Genomic DNA, 19,192 nt, shown 5'->3' with positions numbered 1-19,192 from the left:
TCCATCTCAAAAAAACAAACAAACATTTTTTATTGGAGGATAATAATCTCCTGCTCCTGAATAGAAAATTGGGAAGATCCCCTGACTTTTTGGTCACTCTTTGATAATTGGCAATCCTTTAAGTAACAGTCACTTTAAACCAAAAAGTCTCGGCCGGCCATGGTGGCTCACGCCTGTAATCCCAGCACTTTAGGAGGCCAAGGTGGGCGGATCATGAGGTCAAGAGATTGAGACCATCCTGGCCAACATGGTGAAACCTCTTCTCTACTAAAAGTACAAAAATTAGGCAGTCATGGTGGTGCCTGCCTGTAATCCCAGCTACTCAGGAGGCTTAGGCAGGGGAATCACTTGAACCTGGGAAGCGAAGTTTGCAGTGAGCTGAGATCGTGCCACTGCACTCTAGCCTGGCAACAGAGCCAGACTTTGTCTCAAAAAACAAAAAACAAAAACAAAAAAACCAAATAGTCTCTATTTAGTAATTAGAATATTTCCAGTTCAAAACTGTAATCCAATACTTTAGTCTTCATTCTAAGGTACTAATCTAAGACTGCTTTTCCTCCTCCTCCATGTAAGGCATATGGCTGGTGGCTGCCTGCAGCTTTCTCCTCAACTTTCTTCCTCCCCCACTAGATAACTGCTATTGAACCTGCTTGTGTAAAAGTGGGAGGAGGTAGGAAAGCTAAGGAGATAGGGCAGGTTTTTCTTTCTTGGTAGGGTAGGTCTGTACTACCTGGGTCTTGCACATGGTTAAAGCTGACTCTTTTTCTTAAAGCTTGCTTTAAAAGGTTCTTTGCAGATTCCCATCATCAGAGATCTCTTACTTGAGTTCCTTTGGCCAAAACCAATGCAAGTGGTTGACTGTGACAAACTGTGGATTGTAGCATCCCTGTGTTCATTTCTGGCTTCTAGCCACCGGGTCCCCCTATACCTCTAGACAGCCCATTTGGATAGACCGAAGGCAACCCCACGTTGGCTGTCTTCCATGTGGCCCACATCTGGTCCAGGAAAACATTTATACATTCGTCATCCCTCCTGAATCTGGGTGTCCAGACAGATACCAATGTAGCCACCTCTACTTTGTGGCTACAGCCCTCTTTAATTTATAAGTAAGCACTGGTGCAGTTTTTGTTTTACAACTATGGGGAACAATCTTCAAGTTCTCTGGTCCCACAGAAGCCCCTCTTTAGGCAACATCAGTACTTCCTTTCCCTCTGGGTAGGAGGAGAGTAGGGACTCAGCACATACAAATTTCTCCCCAAGAAGTCTCTTCACAGACCCTTCCTTCCTTCACTCTCTTGATCTCACCATGAGGTAGAACTGTTTGTCAACACTGACTTTGGACATAACAATGTTGTTGAAATAATCATCATTAATTGCAGTTGAGGATGTTCATATCTGTCTCCCAACCCTTGATAATAAGAGACTGTCTGTCTTCATTTCTGTCTTCCCTGGAGAGTTGAGCACAAAGCCTGGAATAAAGTAGGTGCTCAGTAAATGTTTGATGAAAGGATGATTGAATGTATCCGAAACCAACTTTTGTTGCGCACTGAATTCTCTGAGGCACTTCAAAGTAATCAGTATGGGCCAACTTTGGTGTCTCTTGCCTGGCTGACATGAGCTTTGGGGCCCAGCCAAGTAGACTGTGAGAGTGTTGCCAAGGCAATTCTGCATGCAAGAGGAAGTGTGGCAGGACTGGGGGTTTGCTGATAGCTGCCTGGGAAGCTGGCCCCTCAGGCAGTGATACCACCAACCACCCTTGAGGTGGTCAGGGCCTGAGCAGAAGGACTGCAGAGACTGCACATGCCCCTTGAAGCCCAGGCCTATTTCTTGGAAGTCTTTAGCATTCACATTTGCTATCTGAGGAGGTTTACTGCCTGGAGTGAAGTATTCAAAATAGAAAAGACAGAGAAGCTAGAGAAGGAACAGCAGTGAAGCATCAACAAGCCTTTACTGGGGGACCATTTTCCCTCACAACACATTTGGAGAGCCTGAAACTGACAAAGACTACCTGGGTCAGTGGCTGTTGATTTATTCTGGTTTCAGTCATTACTGATATCTGTCCAGAAGAACTAGAAAAAAATAATTCAAGTTGTGGGTGAGATAGTGTTCCAACTCTGCCAAATTTAACTTTTCATCACCATTGACCCAGAGAGGGACATAAAAAAGGCCATTGCAAATTATGTGAAAGAATTTTCTCCCAAACTGGTTGGCCTGATTGGCACGAAAGAAGAGATCAATCACGTGGCCAGAGCATACAGAGTATATTACAGCTCTAGCCCCAAGGATGAAGATGAAGACCATGTTAGTGAATCATACAATAACAATGTCTTTGATTGGGCCAGATGGTGAGTTTCCAGATTATTTTGGCCAGACCAGGAAGAATGCAGAAATTGTTAGCCAGTTCAATTGCTGCACACATGAGGGCACACAGGAAAAAAGAGCTAGCCAAAGCAGTGATGCTGGGTGCAATATTCTCTTGTTAAAGAGGAAGGAAGCAGCCAGGCGCGGTGGCTCACGCCTGTAATCCCAACACTTTTGGAGACCGAAGTGGGTGGAACACCTGAGGTCAGGAGTTCGACACCAGCCTGGCCATCATGGTGATACCCTGTCTCTACTAAAAATACAAAAATTAGCCAGGTGTGATGGTGCCCGCCTGTAACCCCAGCTACTCAGGAGGCCAAGGCAGGAGAATTGCTTGAACCCGGGAGGTGGGTGGAGGTTGCAGTGAGCTGAGATCGTGCCACTGCACTCCAGCCTGGGTGACAGAGTGAGACTTCATCTCAAAAAAAAAAAAAAAAGGAAGCTTTGTCTTCCATAGAAATATATATATTGTGTATATATATGTAATATATATAGTATATCTGTAATATATAGTACATATGTAATATATATATTGTGTGTATATATATATGTTATATATATGCAACCTACAGAATGACCTTTGCACCATTGTACCATGAGAATGTTTCTATTTTGGATTGGCATGTTACTCCTGGGTTCAGTCAAAATAGACTCTTGAAACTGTAAGATTACAACTCAAAGTCTCCCAGGTAGCTGTGGTGAGACCAGAGGACCAAGTCTAAATGAAGTCAGTGAAGAGTGGAGGACGCTCATGGAAGGACACAGCAAGGGAGGCACAGCCAGTGCATCTCCCATTATGAATGGGCCCTCCCAGCAGCTTTATTGGCTCTCCAGTGTTTTGGACCCTTGCTCATACAGGCTGTGGAACTGAATTTCACAGAAAAGAATAATTTTTATAGCACTTTGGCTTCTCTCTTCTTGAGTTATTTGCTCTTCTGTGTTCTTGGTGGCTGATGATAGTCAGATTAGGCTCTCTGCCATTCAAAGTTTATCTTTGTACTTGAAAGCATAAGTTTTGTCTTCTTTGTTAATGAATATCACTGTCAGGCTTGCTCCACTGCCCTATCAGCAGGTACTGATTTGACTAATAAAGATGAGATCTATTGTTTGGGGGGAAAAAAAGTTAGTTTGATTTCTCTAGGGGTCTCTTATGTGATTTTTAGCTAAGTGATGGGCTAGGTTTTCAATGACATGCCAAATGGAAATAAGAAGATATTGATCATGAGTGTGACATAGAGTAGTTTTCTGCATATACTGAGTTGCAGGCCAAGTAAAATAAAAGTGTACTCAGTTTTTCAATAAATAAGTAAAATAACCTGTATTGAGAGCCTATTTTATCACTCCCTGGGAGACTCCGCTCATTCTTACATTTGTAAGATGCTGATGGTTTCCCAGAATTTATATACTTCAGCATTTCCCAACCAAGAAATTTGAGAGATGTGGTCCAGTGTGGTGACTCATGCCTGTAATCCCAGCACTTTGGGAGGCCGAGGAGGGTGGATCACCTGAGGTCAGGAGTTTGAGACCAGCCTGGCCAACATGGTGAAACCCCATCTCTAATAAAAATACAAAAAAAAAATTAGCCAGGTGTGGTGGCAGGTGACTGTAGTCTCAGTTACTCAGGAGGCTGAGGCAGGAGAATCACTTGAACCCGGAAGGCTGAGGTTGCAGCCAGCCGAGATCACGCCATTGCACTCCAGCCTGGGTGAGAAGAGCGAAACTACATCTCAAAAATAAATAATGATGATGATAATAATAATAATAATAATAATAATAATAAAAACATTGCCAACATTTGCAACTTGGAAAAATTCACTTTTTAAAAAAAATCTGTATTTCAGCTTCTTTTGAAAAATGGACGATCTCACCATGGTGCAGTGGCAGGAAGTGGAGGGCATATTCCTACCTGGCAAAATTCCTTTGAGTCTGGAGCTCAAAGGAGGCCCACTCCTCAGACCAGGTCATGAACTTTCAGTTTACCATCCTCTTACTGATGTACATGATCTGTCTGGGCCTGCTTTAAATCTCTAATTGGTTAGATTTGGTTGCTTAGAACAAGCTCTGGGGAGTAGGTGTGGGGCACTCTGGTTAAACAGGCTACCGGGCAGACCACAACTCTTGCAGTCTGCCTAAATGGGCTGCTGCTTCACTCCTTCCATGCACCACCACCATGTGCTGCTGACTTCAAAATGTTTATGCTTTGCACAGAAAGTCTGTCACTCAGAGGTGTCATCATGTTTTTGTGCGGGAAGTTTCATTAACCCTAATAAGAGTTATAAAGGTCATTTATTCCTCTACATTTAGAATACTACACCTCTTGGGTGGTTGAGTTTGTCTTTGATATGGTTTACTTGAAGGAGGGTGGACATGTACAGGAGGGTTCTAAGGAGCATAGATTCGTTCCACCATTATGAATAATGCTGTAAGTATTTTTGTCAAAGACACTTCCTACTAAGAGTTTAGTCTCCTAAGCAACTGAACCATTGTGGATGGACCCCTGCTGGCCTGGTCCACGCAGGTGCAACCATATAGAATCGGCCCAACACTCAGGGTTCCTGAGCTTTTTTATCCCCGCTGCAGGACCAAGACCCGAACCCTGCGGCTGTGGCCGAGAACGCTGCACTGAGCCTGCGCGCAAAGCCTCTGAGTAAAAGGAGAAAGTAACCCCCTAACTAGGCCTCTGGAGGGCGAAAGCTGCTGCACAAGTCTGCGCAGGCGCGCCCCGCTGACGAACACTCATCAGTGCGCAGGCGCCCATCTTAGTTGGTCTTCTAGTCCGGTAAACAGAGGGCCTGCCCCCGACAGCTTCTGCTTCCGGGTCACGCCTTGACAGCGGCTTTCAACCCCCACCTCAGCCCAGCAATTCGGTGAGTGCGGTCCTTGGAGTGGGTCTACAGCCAGGTTTCCTAACCCAGGGTACCACGCCCAATAACGCTTCCTCTACTCCCTGGTCGAAGTGCTCTAGTTCTCGAGGCTGAGACTTATTTCCGGGCCTTAGAAGGCAGATCGAAGAGGGGGTTGGTCCGCGTCTGAGGCCCCCCAGCGCAAATTGCGTGATTCTCTTTCAGTACCGGACCTACCGGGATTGCTGCGATCTGTTTAGAGCCCGTGCAGAAAGTGACACCGCACGTCCTTGCGTTTCGTGCCCTTGCCCCCCGCCCCCTAGCCTCAGCGAGACAGCTGCCGCGGGCCCTCCCGCAGCAGGTGCGGTGGGGATTACGGGCGCTGCAGGCTCGGCCAAGGTTCTCCCGGGGCGGGAGGGGGCGGGGCCGAGGCCTCCCTCGCATCAGAGCTGTTGTGTCTTCTCTTTTCCAGTTTGCTTTTTTTTTTTTTTTTTTTCAGCTTCTCAGTAAGTGCCCTTTGGTGTTTTCTCTGGATCCCGTAGCAAAAGAAAACGAGGGAGACAGGGCTTTCAGCTCTAGCAGAGGAAAGGGCCTTCCAAGGGGATCAAACCTTACACGGGCTGCTGTCTAGTGAGATCGAATTTAGCTTTCCTTGACCATTCCTGAAGTGAATGCTGTCTGCCCTGAAGTTTCATTCCTTTACCGGGAGCTTCCAGGCAGCAGCAGACCACTGACCATACTCTCAGGAGTTCTTAGCCCAGAGCCCAAGAGCGCCCGGGAAATTAGTTCAGGATTTAGTTTCATCCGATTATCATGGCCCAGAAATGGTTAACAAAACGACTTTATTTATTTATTTTAATTTTTGAATTTTTTTGTAGAGACGATTGGGTTTTGGGGTCGTCTCGCCATGTTGCTCAGGCTGGTCTTGAACTTCCAGGTTCAAGAGTTCCTCCTGCCTTGGCCTCCCAAAGTGCTGGGATTACAGGCAACAGAACCACTTTGGTCCAAGCCTCCTGCTTTAGATGCTCTGTCTTCTGCTGCCATTCTTGGAATTACCAACTCAAATGCACTTGTCTTTTTTTTTCCTTGAAACAAAAAAATTATAAGATACAGATACTTGTCTCAGAGCAGTTTAGTGGCTACTGGAGAGATTAAAACACATGCCAAATCTAAACTATCTAGAAAATGTCATAGAGACATATAAACAAGTGTGTCAGCTTATCCGTGCATGATAACGGGAGAAAAATACCTAATTTGAATTATCGATACATATGAATATTTTTACTTGCATTCTTTTAATGGAATTTACATCTACTATAAATGGCTACTGATTCACAAAATAGAAACTATCAGAATTTATAGTATATAATATATAAAGGGATACACAATCACAAAAAGCAAAAATAGGCCGGGCATGGTGGCTCATGTCTGTAATCCCAGCACTCTGGGAGGCCAAAGCAGGTGGATGACCTGAGGTCAGGAGTTTGAGACCAGTTTGGCCAACATGGTGAAACCCTGTCTCTACTAAACATACAAAAATTAGCTGGGCGTGATGGTGCACACCTGTAAATCCCAGCTACTCAGGAGGCTGAGGAACGTGAATTGCTTGAGCCTGGGAGGCTGAGGTTGCAGTGAGCTGAGATCGCACCACTGCACTCCAGCCTAGATGACAGAGTGAGACTCCGCCTCAAAAAAAAAAAAATAAAGCAAAAGACTATATATACATATATATATATATATTTTTTTTTTTTTTGAGATGGAGTCTCACTCTGTCATCTAGGCTGGAGTGCAGTGGCGCGATCTCAGCTCACTGCAACCGCCACCTCCCAGGTTCAAGCGATTCTCCTGCCTCAGCCTCCCAAGTGGCTGGGACTACCAGGGGTGGTGCATGCCACCATGCCTGGCTAATTTTTTTGTATTTTCAGTAGAGACGGGGTTTCACCATGTTGGCCAGGCTAGTCTCGAACTGCTGACCTCAAGTGATCCGCCCATCTCGGCCTCCCAAAGTGCTGGGATTACAGGCGTGAGCCATCGCGCCCCGCCAAAACATTATATATTATTAAATGACCAAAACAATTTCATATGGGTAATGTGCTTATTTATTTCAAGTCTTGAATTTCTTAGGATCTAAAGTAATAAACTTTACATTGGTTCAACAGATGTTAAGAACCTACCATGTGTTCAGGTACTATTGAAAAAATCAGTATCGTTATTCCCAAAGAGCTTATAATAAGAACACAGATTTCTAAGCAGTTGCACCTAGAGAGCTGATACTGTGTATTATATTTTCCCTATTGTTTTTGATATGTACTGTTTCATAGAAGTGTTCTACCTTATTGGCTGTAATTTTAAATGGTCCCTAACTCTTGTCTCTTATACAGCCAAGCCTTTTAAGTTGAATTGAAGTATATTGCATTATTTTCTTCTTCCATCCTAGAACTCTGTCCTATTGTGGTTTCAACATATATTTCACCAAATCTATTTCTCAGTTGCCATGAATAGCCAATTATTAAAAATTTTCACTCATTTTATTTATTTTTTTGAGATGGAGTCTCACTCTGTTGCCAAGATTGGAGTACAGTAGTGCAGCCTCAGCTCACTGCAACCTCTGCCTCCTGGGTTCAAGCTATTTTCCTGCCTCAGCCTCCCGAGTAGCTGGAATTACAGGCGTGCGCCACCATGCCCAGCTAATTTTTTTTGTATTTTTAGTACAGATGGGCTTTCACCATGTTGGTAAGGCTGGTCTCGAACTCCTGACCTCAGGTGATCCACCCACCTCAGCCTTCCAAAGTGCTGGGATTACAGGTGTGAGCCACCACGCCCCACCTTTAACTCATTTTAAAATCTGCAAATTTTCCTAAAACTGAAAGTACATTTTATTATTCTGAATTTTAATTTTTTCCTAGTTTTATATAAATGACTCCAGGGTAGTTATACTTTTGCTTTCCTTACCTATTTTAGAATACTACCTCAAATATTTCCTTTTTTTTTTTTTTTTTTTTGAGATAGAGTCTCACTCTGTTGCCCAGGCTGGAGTGCGGTGGCCCGATCTCGGCTCACTGCAAGCTCTGCCTCCCAGGTTCACGCCATTCTCCTGCCCCAGCCTCCCAAGTAGTTGGGACTACAGGCGCCCACCACCACGTCCAGCTAATTTTTTTGTATTTTTTGTAGAGACGGGGTTTCACTGTGTTAGCCAAGATGGTCTGGATCTCCTGACCTTGTGATCCACCCATCTCGGCCTCCCAAAGTGCTGGGATTACAGGCATGAGCCACCACGCCCTGCCAAATATTTCCTTTTTTTCCTCTTCTGAACACATTTGAAAATGTTTCAGATAACTTTTCATTATTAAGATATATTTGCTCCATAGCCTTCTTCCTCTCTTTTCACACATAACAATCACTTCTATACTGTTTAGTCAGTCGACCAACCAATATTTGTTAAATACCTACCTTTTGTGAGATTCTGTGGCTGGCCTTACATGGGTGAAAAAGTAGAAGACAAAGTCCTTGCCTTCCAGTTGATTACAGTTTCGATGGAGAAACAATATGTACATAACTATATTGCAAGGCCCAGTGTTATAAATAACTTAATGGTGGTGCTGATCATAAAAACCACAAAAATTCAAAGAAGGAAAATAATGTTTTTTGACCTCTTCAGCCTTTTAAAAATCCTATTCCTTGCCTAGTCGTTTGTAAACCACACAGAGCTCCACGGGGGTCTTAGTACCTCTTGGGGAAATCTCGTGCTAGACTAGGTTAGAGTAGAACATTTGTGTCCAGGTTTATCCAACTCCCTAGGCAACTATTATAATCCAATTCCTTATGATTATGGAAATAGTATTAATCACTCCTTGAAATCTGCTTTTAGCATTGGGAAGGCCTCAGAGAAGACCTAACCCTAAAGACAGGTGTGCTCAGTGATATTGTATATGCCGAAAACTTCTTTGTTTCAGGCAGTTTGGAGCATGTGAACACCTTGAGCCTTGATGAGTTCCAGTATGTGGTATATTATGCAGAGCATTCAGAGCAAATACTCTCTCTCCGAGCGCTTAATCCGAACAATTGCTGCCATCCGTTCCTTCCCACATGATAATGTAGAGGACCTCATCAGAGGGGTGAGTGTGCTGGTATTGACAGGAGAGTCCTTGCGATATGAAGTGGGCAAAATCCTCATGGATCACAGATTTGCAGCTTTGACTCAACCCAAGATCACAGGGAGTTTTTACATTTTGCTAACTGCATTAACTTGATCATTAAAATGTATTTCCCCTATGTTTGCTTCGCTTCCCTTCTCCCTTTCACTTTGTGTATCTGATATTTTTCTTCATGGAATATGTTCTCAATAACCCTAGTCTCATGTTCTTTGTAAAATATCTGAGTACGATGCATATGTAATCCATTGAGCTCAAAGTCTTCTATACATGTTTTATTAAGGGAGGAGGTGAGCAAAGCAGAGGTGGTTTTTATTTTTATTTGTTGAGACAGGGCTTCACTTTTGTCACCCAGGCTGGAGTGCAGTGGCACAAACATGGCTTACTGCAGCCTTGACCTCCTGGGCTCAAGCGATCCTCCCACCTCAGCCCCCTCAAGTAGCTGGGACTACAGGCACATGCCACCCATGTCCAGCTAATTTTTTTTTTTTTAATTTTTTGTAGAGATGGTGTTTCACCATGTTTCCCAGGCTGGTCTTGAATTCTCATGCTCAAGCAACCCACCTGCCTTGGGTTCCCAAAGTCGTGGGATTAGAGGTGTAAGCCACTGTGCCTGGCTACAGAGGTGGTTTTTAAATCCTTGTGAGCCTTTCTTCATACCTGGGTTACAATAATTACATGGAGAGATTTTTTACTTACATTCTATGTTAAAAGCAGCTACCACTTCTAGCTCTGTAGAGGATATCAACCTCTAAAATGCATGGTAATTATAGTTTAAGAAAACACCTTAACCATCGGATGTTTAATCATGGCCCTTCAATAATTGTTATGTGACTAGTATCCTAGAAGGTCTTTACTATCCTCTTCTATTTATTTTTCTTGTTGAAGAGAAGTTACACAGTTTTTGATCACCAGAAAATGCATCCAGATGGTTACTTGTGTATATTCTAAGACTTCAGGCTCGTCATTTACAGCCTAGATCTCTGTAGCTGCTTCAGAGTTATTGGACACAACTGAAGAAGGAAAAGTCATGCAGTGTTAGCTTATTGTCAGCAAAAGTAGTGTCAGGAGACTCCGCGGTAGAAACCTTGTAACATTCTAATTCTAGCTCTGCTGCTGAGTCATTCAGTGACTTTGGTCTGACTGGTATCTCCATCTCCCTTGATTTTTTTTTTTTTTTTGAGACGGAGTTTCGCTCGTCGCCCAGGCTGGAGTGCAATGGCGCGATCTTGGCTCACTGCAACCTCCGCCTCCCAGGTTCAAGCGATTCTCCTGCCTCAGCCTCCCGAGTAGCGGGGATTACAGATGCCCGCCACCACACCCAGCTAGTTTTTGTATTTTCAGTAGAGACCGGGTTTCACCATGTCGGCCAGGATGGTCTCAAACTTCTGACCTCAGGTGATCTGCCCACCTCAGCCTCCCAAAGTGCTGGGATTACAGGTGTGAGCCACTGTACTCGGCCTCTCCTTTGATTTTGAATAGAAGCACCAGCAAAGGCTAGATGGTAAAGAATACTGATACTAAGAGGCTACTTTGAAGATGTTTATAAAAAAGGAAAAACCGTGTTAAGATGATGCCACTATTAATGATGGTCATTTGTTGAATGGACAAAAGAGCATGCCATTTCTGGCCTCAGTCTGACAGACTCACTTTCCTACTTTTCCAGAGCATGGTGGCCATAGAAAGTGGATTGCTGGTCCAGCTTTCCTGCCTGATGATAAGGTTTCCAGTGCTTTGATACATAAGATTGTCTTCAGTGATGTCCAGGTGACCATCTGGCAGCCTCCCTTGTGGAGAAACTTAGTAACTTGATCTAAGGAATTAACAGTTCCTTTCCTTCATCTTCAGTGTACTCCTTTGGTTTGGACATTGACATAATATTAATAGAAAAGGAAACAGGAACTAGCACTGTATCTATAAAATAGTGAGAGTTAGAACTCTCTGTCCCCTGGACTCAGTTCTGAATTCTGTCCTGCTGGGCAAGCCAGAGCTGAACACACTGACTGAAGTTGTCTTCTGCCCACAGGGAGCAGATGTGAACTGCACTCATGGCACACTGAAGCCCTTGCACTGTGCCTGTATGGTGTCAGATGCTGACTGTGTGGAGTTACTTCTGGAAAAAGGAGCCGAGGTAATGTTTTTAACACATTCACATTAATGACTCACTAAAACTTGAGCTTCATGTTTTCTTAGAATTTCTCCCCATCACTCCTCCATCTCTTCCCTCCTCCAGTCTGAACTTCTAACTCAAGGTAATGTTGGCATAGCCAATATTAAGGAAAATGTAATGGTAAATATATAAAATGATCTAAGGATTTCATTCTTTTACCTTTCTGTCCCCACCCTGCTTGCCCCCATTGTATGGTGCTGATACTCTGCCTTTCTTTCTTCTCCTTAACTTAAGCTGTCACTGGCCATCACTTCAGGAAGCTTACCTTGTAGGGGCTGTTTATATTTCCGTTTAATCTTCTCATTGCTTATTGTCTATCCAGGAGATATAAATGCAGAGATCCCTCAACTCTGATTAAATCTAAAGTACCCTTAAAAGTACTTAAAGTACTTAAGAAGTGGTACTTAAGATAGGTTTTAGCCAAATAAAAGGTTGAATTTACTTAAATGTTTCAGGGTTTTTTTTTGTTTTTGTCTTTCATTAATGAGGGTATATGCTATTTGGAAATTTGAAGAAAAAAACTACAGGTGATGCTGACTGTCAGCAAGCCAGCTGCTTTTCCAGCACTGGGAGATTTGTGCTCTTCCTATCACATGCTTTCATTTGGGTTCTCTTGTGAACCCACAGCATATTTTTGCAAAGGTCTGACTTATATTCTAACATTTTGAATTTCTCTGTATGGTTAAAGAACTTAGCAAAAGCTATGTTTTTCAGTTTGGTTGCTACATTAGCCACAGGGTACAGAAAGGGTCAGGGTAAGTAAAATAATCCAAAACTCTGTATAGTCAAGCAGCTTTCCAGTAATGTTTCAGAGCAGTTACGGGGACTTAGACTTCCTCTATTCCTGCCTTACCCCTTACTCTGTGGTAGAGATTCTAATGAATAGATAAAAGAACATTGCAGCAAAAACCAAAATAATGCAGACCAGCTAGTCAGTGCACATAATAGTGTTGACTGTTTGAGGACAGTTCTTTTCCTTTTTGCTCCTAAGCTCCTGTCATATCTTCATCTTTATCACCAGGACTCCCTGGGAGTTGCTTGCTGACCCTCCTGTTCAGAGCACTGCATAGCAAAGGTAGTGGGTAACCATGCAAGCTTCTTTGCTGCTGTCCTGTCTTCCTCTCAGTAGTCTGTCTACTGTAATAGTTCCTCCCTTTTTACAGGTGAATGCCCTGGATGGGTATAACCGAACAGCCCTCCACTATGCAGCAGAGAAAGATGAGGCTTGTGTGGAGGTCCTATTGGAGTATGGTGCAAACCCCAATGCTTTGGATGGCAACAGAGATACCCCACTTCACTGGGCAGCCTTTAAGAACAATGCTGAGTGTGTGCGGGCTCTCCTAGAGAGCGGGGCCTCTGTCAATGCCCTGGATTACAACAATGATACACCGCTCAGCTGGGCTGCCATGAAGGGAAATCTTGAGAGTGTCAGCATCCTTCTGGATTATGGCGCAGAGGTCAGAGTCATCAACCTAATAGGCCAGACACCCATCTCCCGCCTGGTGGCTCTGCTAGTCAGGGGACTTGGAACAGAGAAAGAGGACTCTTGCTTTGAGCTCCTCCACAGAGCTGTTGGACACTTTGAATTGAGGAAAAATGGCACCATGCCACGAGAGGTGGCCAGAGACCCGCAGCTATGTGAAAAACTGACTGTTCTGTGCTCAGCTCCAGGAACTCTAAAAACACTCGCTCGCTATGCCGTGCGCCGTAGCCTGGGACTCCAGTATCTCCCCGATGCAGTGAAGGGCCTTCCACTGCCAGCTTCTTTGAAGGAATACCTGTTACTTTTAGAATAGCCGGAGAAGATGTTTGCACCATCGTGCAGGCAGCTCTGGGTGAGGTTGTCCCTGCAGTACTCCTTGTCACAGAAAACAGAAAAACAGTTGTTCCTGTTGTGTGGTTTATAGATTTCGAAGCAACATGTCACAACAATAACCTCCATAGCACCTCCCCTTCCCAAACCAAACAACCCAACAAAAAAAATCCCTCACTTTTGTTTTCTGTTTATTGCTTACCTGGCTTTTTATATTGCATTTTGCAAAAGAAGAGGTCTCCCTCAATCCTCCCCTTTAGGGAAGGAGTCAACAGTGTAACTAAATTTCTCTAGGAAGATGGAAAGTACTTAAATAATGTGTGTGTGGTTTTCCTTTGGGGACGTGGTTAACGGTCCAGAAGAATCCCTTCTAGAAAGCATTTTAGGCCAGCCATGGTGGCTCACGTCTGTAATCCCAGGACTTTGGGAGGCTGAGGCAGGTGGATCACCTGAGGTCAGGAGTTCGAGCCCAGCCTGACCAATATGATGAAACCCCGTCTCTACTAAAAATACAAAAATTAGCTGGGCATGGTGGCATGCGCCTGTAATCCCAGCTACTCAGGAGGCTGAGACAGAAGAATCGCTTGAACCTGTGAGGCAGAGGTTGCAGTGAGCCAAGATCGCGCCATTGCACTCCAGCCTGGACAACAAGAGCAAAACTGTCTCAAAAAAAAAAAAAAAAAAAAAAAACCATTTTAATTGATCTGTGAAAAAACTTAAGAAAATCACAATTTCAGCTAACAGCAATTGTGTCCCAAAGATGAAGATACTATAACCTCAAATGGTGCAGATCCAGAACTGGGCTGGATGACATCCCTACTGTGCCATGTCCTGGGGCATTTGGAAGGGACTGGACCTCTTTCCCCTCATCAAAGGAAACAGCAGTCTTTGCCTCTTTCTGTTGGTTGTGCCCAAGGGCTACAGTAGCTCTGAAATAACAAGAGCTCTGTAATAACAGTAATAAATAGCTCTGAAATAACAGTCCTAAGAACTCCTAAAGTCCTGAGAACTTTTCTTGTAATGCAGCTTTTTCTCTTCCTGAGAAACAGTGTGTTCTAATGGGATTCCCAGGCAGTTCCTACACCTACGGTGTGTGTTCCAGCAGGGAGGAGTTATGGGCTGGGCTGCCTTTTCCCATGGGTCTTCATTCCCAATGGAAAGTTCACTCTGCTTAGTTTGGAATTATTTTTCTTTCAGTTGTTCTGGAACCTTTGCTTTTTATTGATTTATACAATACAATTGGTGGGAGGGTGGACTTGGGATGGGAGTGGGAAAAGCATGTAAGAGCTCCTTTTGTGATGGTCCATCTACCCAAAAGAGATCTGCTTTAGTGAACGATACTCTTTCATTTTTCTAAATTAGATCAAGTTGTTATTGATTTTAGATGACTTGTATGCAAATTTGAAAAACTTTTTTTTTTAAAGCTGATTGGGAACTACAAACAATGAATGGAATCTACTGACACAGCTAATTGGAAAACAGATGTCTTCTTCTGTCCTATTGATGCTGGTGTTTAAAAAACATCACTTAAAAAAAAAGAATAAATAGTTCTAAAAGCAAGTTTGGCAATTTCTACTTTTCCTACTTTTCTCCAACCCCCCTTAGAAAAAGTTCTTCGTTTACTGCCTGGCTGTTCTATGTAACTTTCCATCCCAACCTTTCTCCCATTAGCAGCAGTGATTCTGGGCATTGCTGGAGTGAACAGGAGGGCTTGGGCAGAGTATCTGAAGAGCTTCCCCTTCCTTTATACCTTCTCCCACCCCAAATTTGGAATTACTGCTTTTATGTTCTCAACTCCAGCTGCACATAAAATCACTAAGGAAGCTTTTTAAAAACACTGGTGCCAAGATTTCACCTCATACCAATTCTTTGGAATTTTCTGGGGTAGGACTGGGGGCTTCAGTGCTTCAAATATAGCCAGGAATGAGATTCCACTGTGTTAGTCAGTGGTTCTCAATCCTAGTTATTAATTAGAACCACCTAGGAAAATTTTTAAAAATACTAAAGCCCAGGCTCCACCCCCAGAGATTGATTTAATTGGTCCAAAGCAGACCTAGTAGGGCTGGCCACAGTGGCTCACGCCTGTAATCCTCACACTTTAGGAGGCCGAGGTGGGAGGATCATTTGAGACCAGGAGTTGAAGTCCCCATCTCTACAAAAAAATAAATGAATAAAGTAGACCTGGGCATGAGTACGTTCAAAGGTCCCAGGTGATTCTAATATTCTGGTAGATTTATAAACTGCTTGAGATGCTACTTCATTTCTCATCATAGATACTTAATATTCTAGAAAGAGAAAGTTTTGTCCATGTGGGAAAAAATGTTACCTGTTTCTCAGTTACTTCATAATCACTTATGTGGTTGGTGGCTAATAAATTCTGCTTCACCTCCACTTAAGAGTTCAAACACAATTTCACTTATCTTTTTAGCTCTGGGGAAATAGCATGCACCTTCATAGGTTTTTTTTGTTTGTTTTTAAGTGGTCTTCACTATGCCTTTTTTTCCCAGATCGTATCATCATCCTAAATTTTTTACTCTTTACAGAGTGACATTTTCCCTCTGATTAACTTTCCCTGAGCCATCCTTCCCTCTTCATTTTCTTGAGGAAACAGCTCTAAGATTAAAGACAGGAAAGAGACAGAGAACCTATAAATCAATGGCAATTAGCATTTAAAATGTTCTGAATGAATGCCTGAACCTTCCCTTTCACTTTGTTTTCATAGGCCTTATGGCTCTGGGGATTTGATATGGCATGATAAGGAAGCAGGAATGGGGAATGAGGATGAGGTTTGAAGTCAGAACTGAGTTTGAGTTCTACTTGAATAATATTGAAGGAGACATTATGTAATCAATCACCTTGAGCTCCAGTGTCCTCCTTTCTGAAGTCAGGCTGTCACCATTGCCCTCCAAAAGCTACTATGAGGATTCAATGATGAAATGCCTACCACAGTGCTTGATATTTATTGTTAATTTCTCTTCCCACTAAAGAACTGTGCAAAGAGTATTTGGCTGCCTTATTCCCTGACTCCAGCAACAAACCTTCTCAGTCACTATTTAGAACTGTTTTTAGAGTTTGGCAGTGACAATTTTTCAGACAGCCAGCAAGTAGTGTACTAGAGATAATCCCTTCCTCCACCCCCTGTGATACCCTTAACGTCTTTACTGCTTCATCAGACAAGTGTCTGATACATGGGGCTGACAGTATTACATTCCACTTAGGAAGATGATAACAGGAGAAGCAAAAGCACAGTGACCAGTTGGCATTTATTAGTGTAGTTACAATTTGTCACTGTAGTAAAAGTAGTAGAGGAACCAAGACTCTTTGTTATCACAAAGAAATAAATAAAGCTTATTTTTAGGAAAATTCTAACTGAGTAAGTGATATCTAGCAGTAGCACTAGAGGTGCCCAGCCTTGTGTGACAGATAAAGCTGGGGCAGAAGTCATGTTAAATTCTACCTAAAAGGAGCTCCCACCCACTGCCTGCTCCTCCAGCTCCTGGCCAGAACTGGTCATGGCTGCAAGGTACAGAATAAAAGGAAACCTAATGAAAAAAACAGCTAAAACACTGAGAAGATGTGGACTTATTAGGGTGTGAGCTGACCATGATCAGGTAATCTATTCCCCTCACTCCAGAGAGGTTTAGACGGCAGCTTCCCCGGACCGCTTCCGGGTGATGTGCTCCAGGTGGGCATGGTCTGAAGTGTCCAAGTCAATCTCGTACTTGGCTAGGATTTTGAGGATGGGCCTCAGTTTCAGCCACCACTGTTCCTTGGGGATTCGATGCCTACAGAGGAATGAGGTAGATGATGATATAATCTTTTAGCACCCCAATCAACTTCTACCAAAGGTTTATAGGAAGAAGTTAGACAGAAGAGGTTAGATTTAGGACATGTGCATCACATCTGAAATGGGTAAGAATACAGGTGTTACTCCTTAAAAAAAAAAAAGAATTAAAGACAGTGAACAGGTTGAGGACAGTAGAGCTTGAAACTACCAGGGAAAAGAACCACTCCAGGAAGCAGATGTACTCACTCAAAATCTGTCTGGTCCTTCAGCTCAGCCACTGGTTGGAAGACCAGAGCCCTCTTACGCATCCCCAGAACACAGCCCGAATCTGGAGTATTGGCAAAGATCCGCCCTGCAATGAGGGATGGGCAGTCAGCTTCTATACTGGGGAACCAGCCTCTATAGAGGGCACTCGCTCTCACCCCACCTACCATTACGGTAACTCTCTTTGATTTTCCCAGACATCCAGTTCATAGCCTTGGCGCCCATCTTAGTGGCAAAATTCCTATCAAATGGGGTTGGGCTCCCACCCTGGAGAAAGAAACATAAAAATTACAGAGGGAAGGACTCTAATGAAGTGGCAGAGATATCTAGACACACAGAGAAAAAAAGAAAGATGGGCCCCAGGCTTACAGCCCAAAACAGGAATCCAGAAGTCAAACTATGAAAGGGTGCCCTGAGGCAGTGCCAGGATCCAAGGCAAGCTGGCCCAGCAAATTTGGCCATGTATCAGATATAATAACAACTAATTAAAGATGATTGGCCCCACAATCCCCTCTTTTAGCTCCACAGCTGCCAGATCCTGTTTTAGTTTTATTGGCCAATGGGTCAGCTGCCTGCCCCTCTTCAGCCCAGCAGCTTTTGTTGATCACTGTCAATGATGACATAAAAGTGTTTTTTTTGTGGCCCAATCTGGCTGCCCTTGGTAGCACCTCAGAATTAATATAAAACATCATACAGATTTCCTTTGAATTAAGAGGAAGCAGGTGGGAAAGTGGGAATGTTTGGAGACATTTTTGTTACAATTGGGAGTGAGAGGGAGGTGCTACTGGCATCTAGTGGGTAGAGACCAGGGATGCTGTGCAACTGTCCTACAGTGCATAGAACAGCCACCCATGACAAATTATCATCCAGCCCCAAAAGGCAAAGCTGCCAAGGTTGAAAAGCCCTCCCATGAGGGCTTTTGAAAAGGATAGACCATATAATCTCTAAAGTCATTTCCAGGATAAAGATGTTTTGATTCTATGACTGTAAGAGACTGCAGGCCCATGCTCTATGATGGCACTGACAGGCTCCTCCAGAAGACTGGAAAAGGCCAGTGGAAGCCTCAGTGGCTGTTGGCAGGTATGGCTGTTGGCAGGTATGGCTGTCTGATGAAGGGCATGACTACGGTGTCTTCCCTACCTGCTGCATGTGACCAAGCACATTCTTCCTGCTGTCGAAGATGCCCTTCCCCTCCTCAGAGTACAGGTTGAAAATGAAGTCAGTGGTATAGTTCTCATTGCACTTTTCATTCCTGCCAGGTGGAGACCAAAAGCCTGTGACTCTGTGGTTGGCTTCCCATCCCCCATTTCTGCCTTTGTTCTTTCCTTTCAATTTTTATCTCCTCCAAGGATTCAAGGGATAGGCTGGCCCCCTCCCTTTATATCTACAGATTCCTCAGGGTGTCCCAACAATGGCCATTCTATGGGTTTGAGCCAAAGCTTATTTTTCTTCTTCATTTAGGAACAAACCATGGATGAGGTACCTTAACACCAAGCCCCTTTTCACAGTTGTTTTCATCTTTTGCACCAGATGTTCAACATTTGCCTGAAAATGAAAGAGTAAATCCTAAGCCTAACTGGGAATGGATAAGGTTGGGTATAAATCATCTTCCACACCACACCTCTCCAGGAAGGAAGAGACACATGGAAGAGAGTTGTTTACAATCCTGGGCCTGAACTGTGCCTAATTCCTGTAAGAAGCTCAGTGTGGACTGAAATTTAAACAATGACTCCAAATGAGACAGAACTGGAAGAGGGAGCACTACAGACAGCTGCAGTAACTGTCAGTGTTCAGCCCCTCACC

At 43.7% G+C, this 19,192-nt stretch overlaps 2 protein-coding genes and 1 pseudogene across 45 annotated transcripts in view, besides 4 other annotated features; 2 read left to right on the top strand and 1 right to left on the bottom strand.

Moving 5' to 3' along the window:
- On the top strand, positions 1,583-2,494 carry LOC100421855 (SCO1 cytochrome c oxidase assembly protein pseudogene; annotated as a pseudogene).
- Positions 4,866-5,388: an enhancer, noted in NCBI's record as "NANOG hESC enhancer chr12:48551082-48551604 (GRCh37/hg19 assembly coordinates)". NCBI's record gives its function as "activates a minimal SCP1, AML or CMV promoter by ChIP-STARR-seq in naive H9 embryonic stem cells {active_cell/tissue: H9 hESC(naive)}" and the evidence as "EXISTENCE:reporter gene assay evidence [ECO:0000049][PMID:30033119]".
- Positions 4,992-5,211: an enhancer, noted in NCBI's record as "active region_6282". NCBI's record gives its function as "activates an Ori minimal core promoter by ATAC-STARR-seq in GM12878 lymphoblastoid cells {active_cell/tissue: GM12878}" and the evidence as "EXISTENCE:reporter gene assay evidence [ECO:0000049][PMID:35858748]".
- ASB8 (ankyrin repeat and SOCS box containing 8) lies at positions 5,172-14,898 on the top strand. Of its 7 annotated transcripts, none has more exons than NM_001319301.2 (5): positions 5,172-5,228; positions 9,162-9,319; positions 11,382-11,486; positions 12,547-12,600; positions 12,689-14,898. In NM_001319301.2, the coding sequence occupies exons 2-4, from the start codon at positions 9,191-9,193 to the stop codon at positions 12,568-12,570; spliced, it is 258 nt and encodes an 85-aa protein (NP_001306230.1). In that variant the 5' UTR covers positions 5,172-5,228; positions 9,162-9,190; the 3' UTR covers positions 12,571-12,600; positions 12,689-14,898. The 7 variants fall into 7 exon arrangements, with proteins under 7 accessions (NP_001306230.1, NP_001306228.1, NP_001306229.1 ...); NM_001319299.2 differs by lacking the exon at positions 12,547-12,600 and adding an exon at positions 11,022-11,122; NM_001319300.2 differs by having other exon boundaries at positions 9,158-9,319.
- Positions 5,242-5,291: an enhancer, noted in NCBI's record as "active region_6281". NCBI's record gives its function as "activates an Ori minimal core promoter by ATAC-STARR-seq in GM12878 lymphoblastoid cells {active_cell/tissue: GM12878}" and the evidence as "EXISTENCE:reporter gene assay evidence [ECO:0000049][PMID:35858748]".
- Positions 5,312-5,361: an enhancer, noted in NCBI's record as "active region_6280". NCBI's record gives its function as "activates an Ori minimal core promoter by ATAC-STARR-seq in GM12878 lymphoblastoid cells {active_cell/tissue: GM12878}" and the evidence as "EXISTENCE:reporter gene assay evidence [ECO:0000049][PMID:35858748]".
- PFKM (phosphofructokinase, muscle) overlaps positions 16,283-19,192 on the bottom strand; it is a 41,052-nt gene continuing 38,142 nt past the window's right edge. For all 38 annotated transcript variants that reach the window (NR_148955.1, NR_148957.2, NR_148954.2 and 35 more), the window contains 5 exons: positions 18,873-18,934; positions 18,530-18,641; positions 17,557-17,656; positions 17,372-17,477; positions 16,283-17,123 (listed from right to left, as the gene is read on the bottom strand). Coding sequence is in view for 32 of the 38 variants with exons in the window: in NM_001354741.2 (NP_001341670.1) it covers positions 16,979-17,123; positions 17,372-17,477; positions 17,557-17,656; positions 18,530-18,641; positions 18,873-18,934 (525 nt within the window). In the remaining 6 variants the exon portion in view is untranslated. The remainder of the gene's footprint in view (positions 17,124-17,371; positions 17,478-17,556; positions 17,657-18,529; positions 18,642-18,872; positions 18,935-19,192) is intronic.

This window comes from Homo sapiens, chromosome 12, assembly GCF_000001405.40.
Source record: "Homo sapiens chromosome 12, GRCh38.p14 Primary Assembly".
NCBI classification, from domain to species: domain Eukaryota; kingdom Metazoa; phylum Chordata; class Mammalia; order Primates; family Hominidae; genus Homo; species Homo sapiens.
The sequence above is the reverse complement of the archived record's forward strand: the minus strand, read 5'-3'. Positions and strand labels throughout refer to the sequence as shown.

Bases quoted from the DNA above. Each gene is read 5' to 3' on its own strand.
- ASB8 (NM_001319297.2), top strand. From the start codon at position 9,191: ATGAGTTCCAGTATGTGGTATATTATGCAGAGCATTCAGAGCAAATAC. The intron at 9,320-11,381 runs GTGAGTGTGCTG...TTCTGCCCACAG, and splicing joins TAGAGGACCTCATCAGAGGG to GGAGCAGATGTGAACTGCAC. The intron at 11,487-12,688 runs GTAATGTTTTTA...CCCTTTTTACAG, and splicing joins TTCTGGAAAAAGGAGCCGAG to GTGAATGCCCTGGATGGGTA.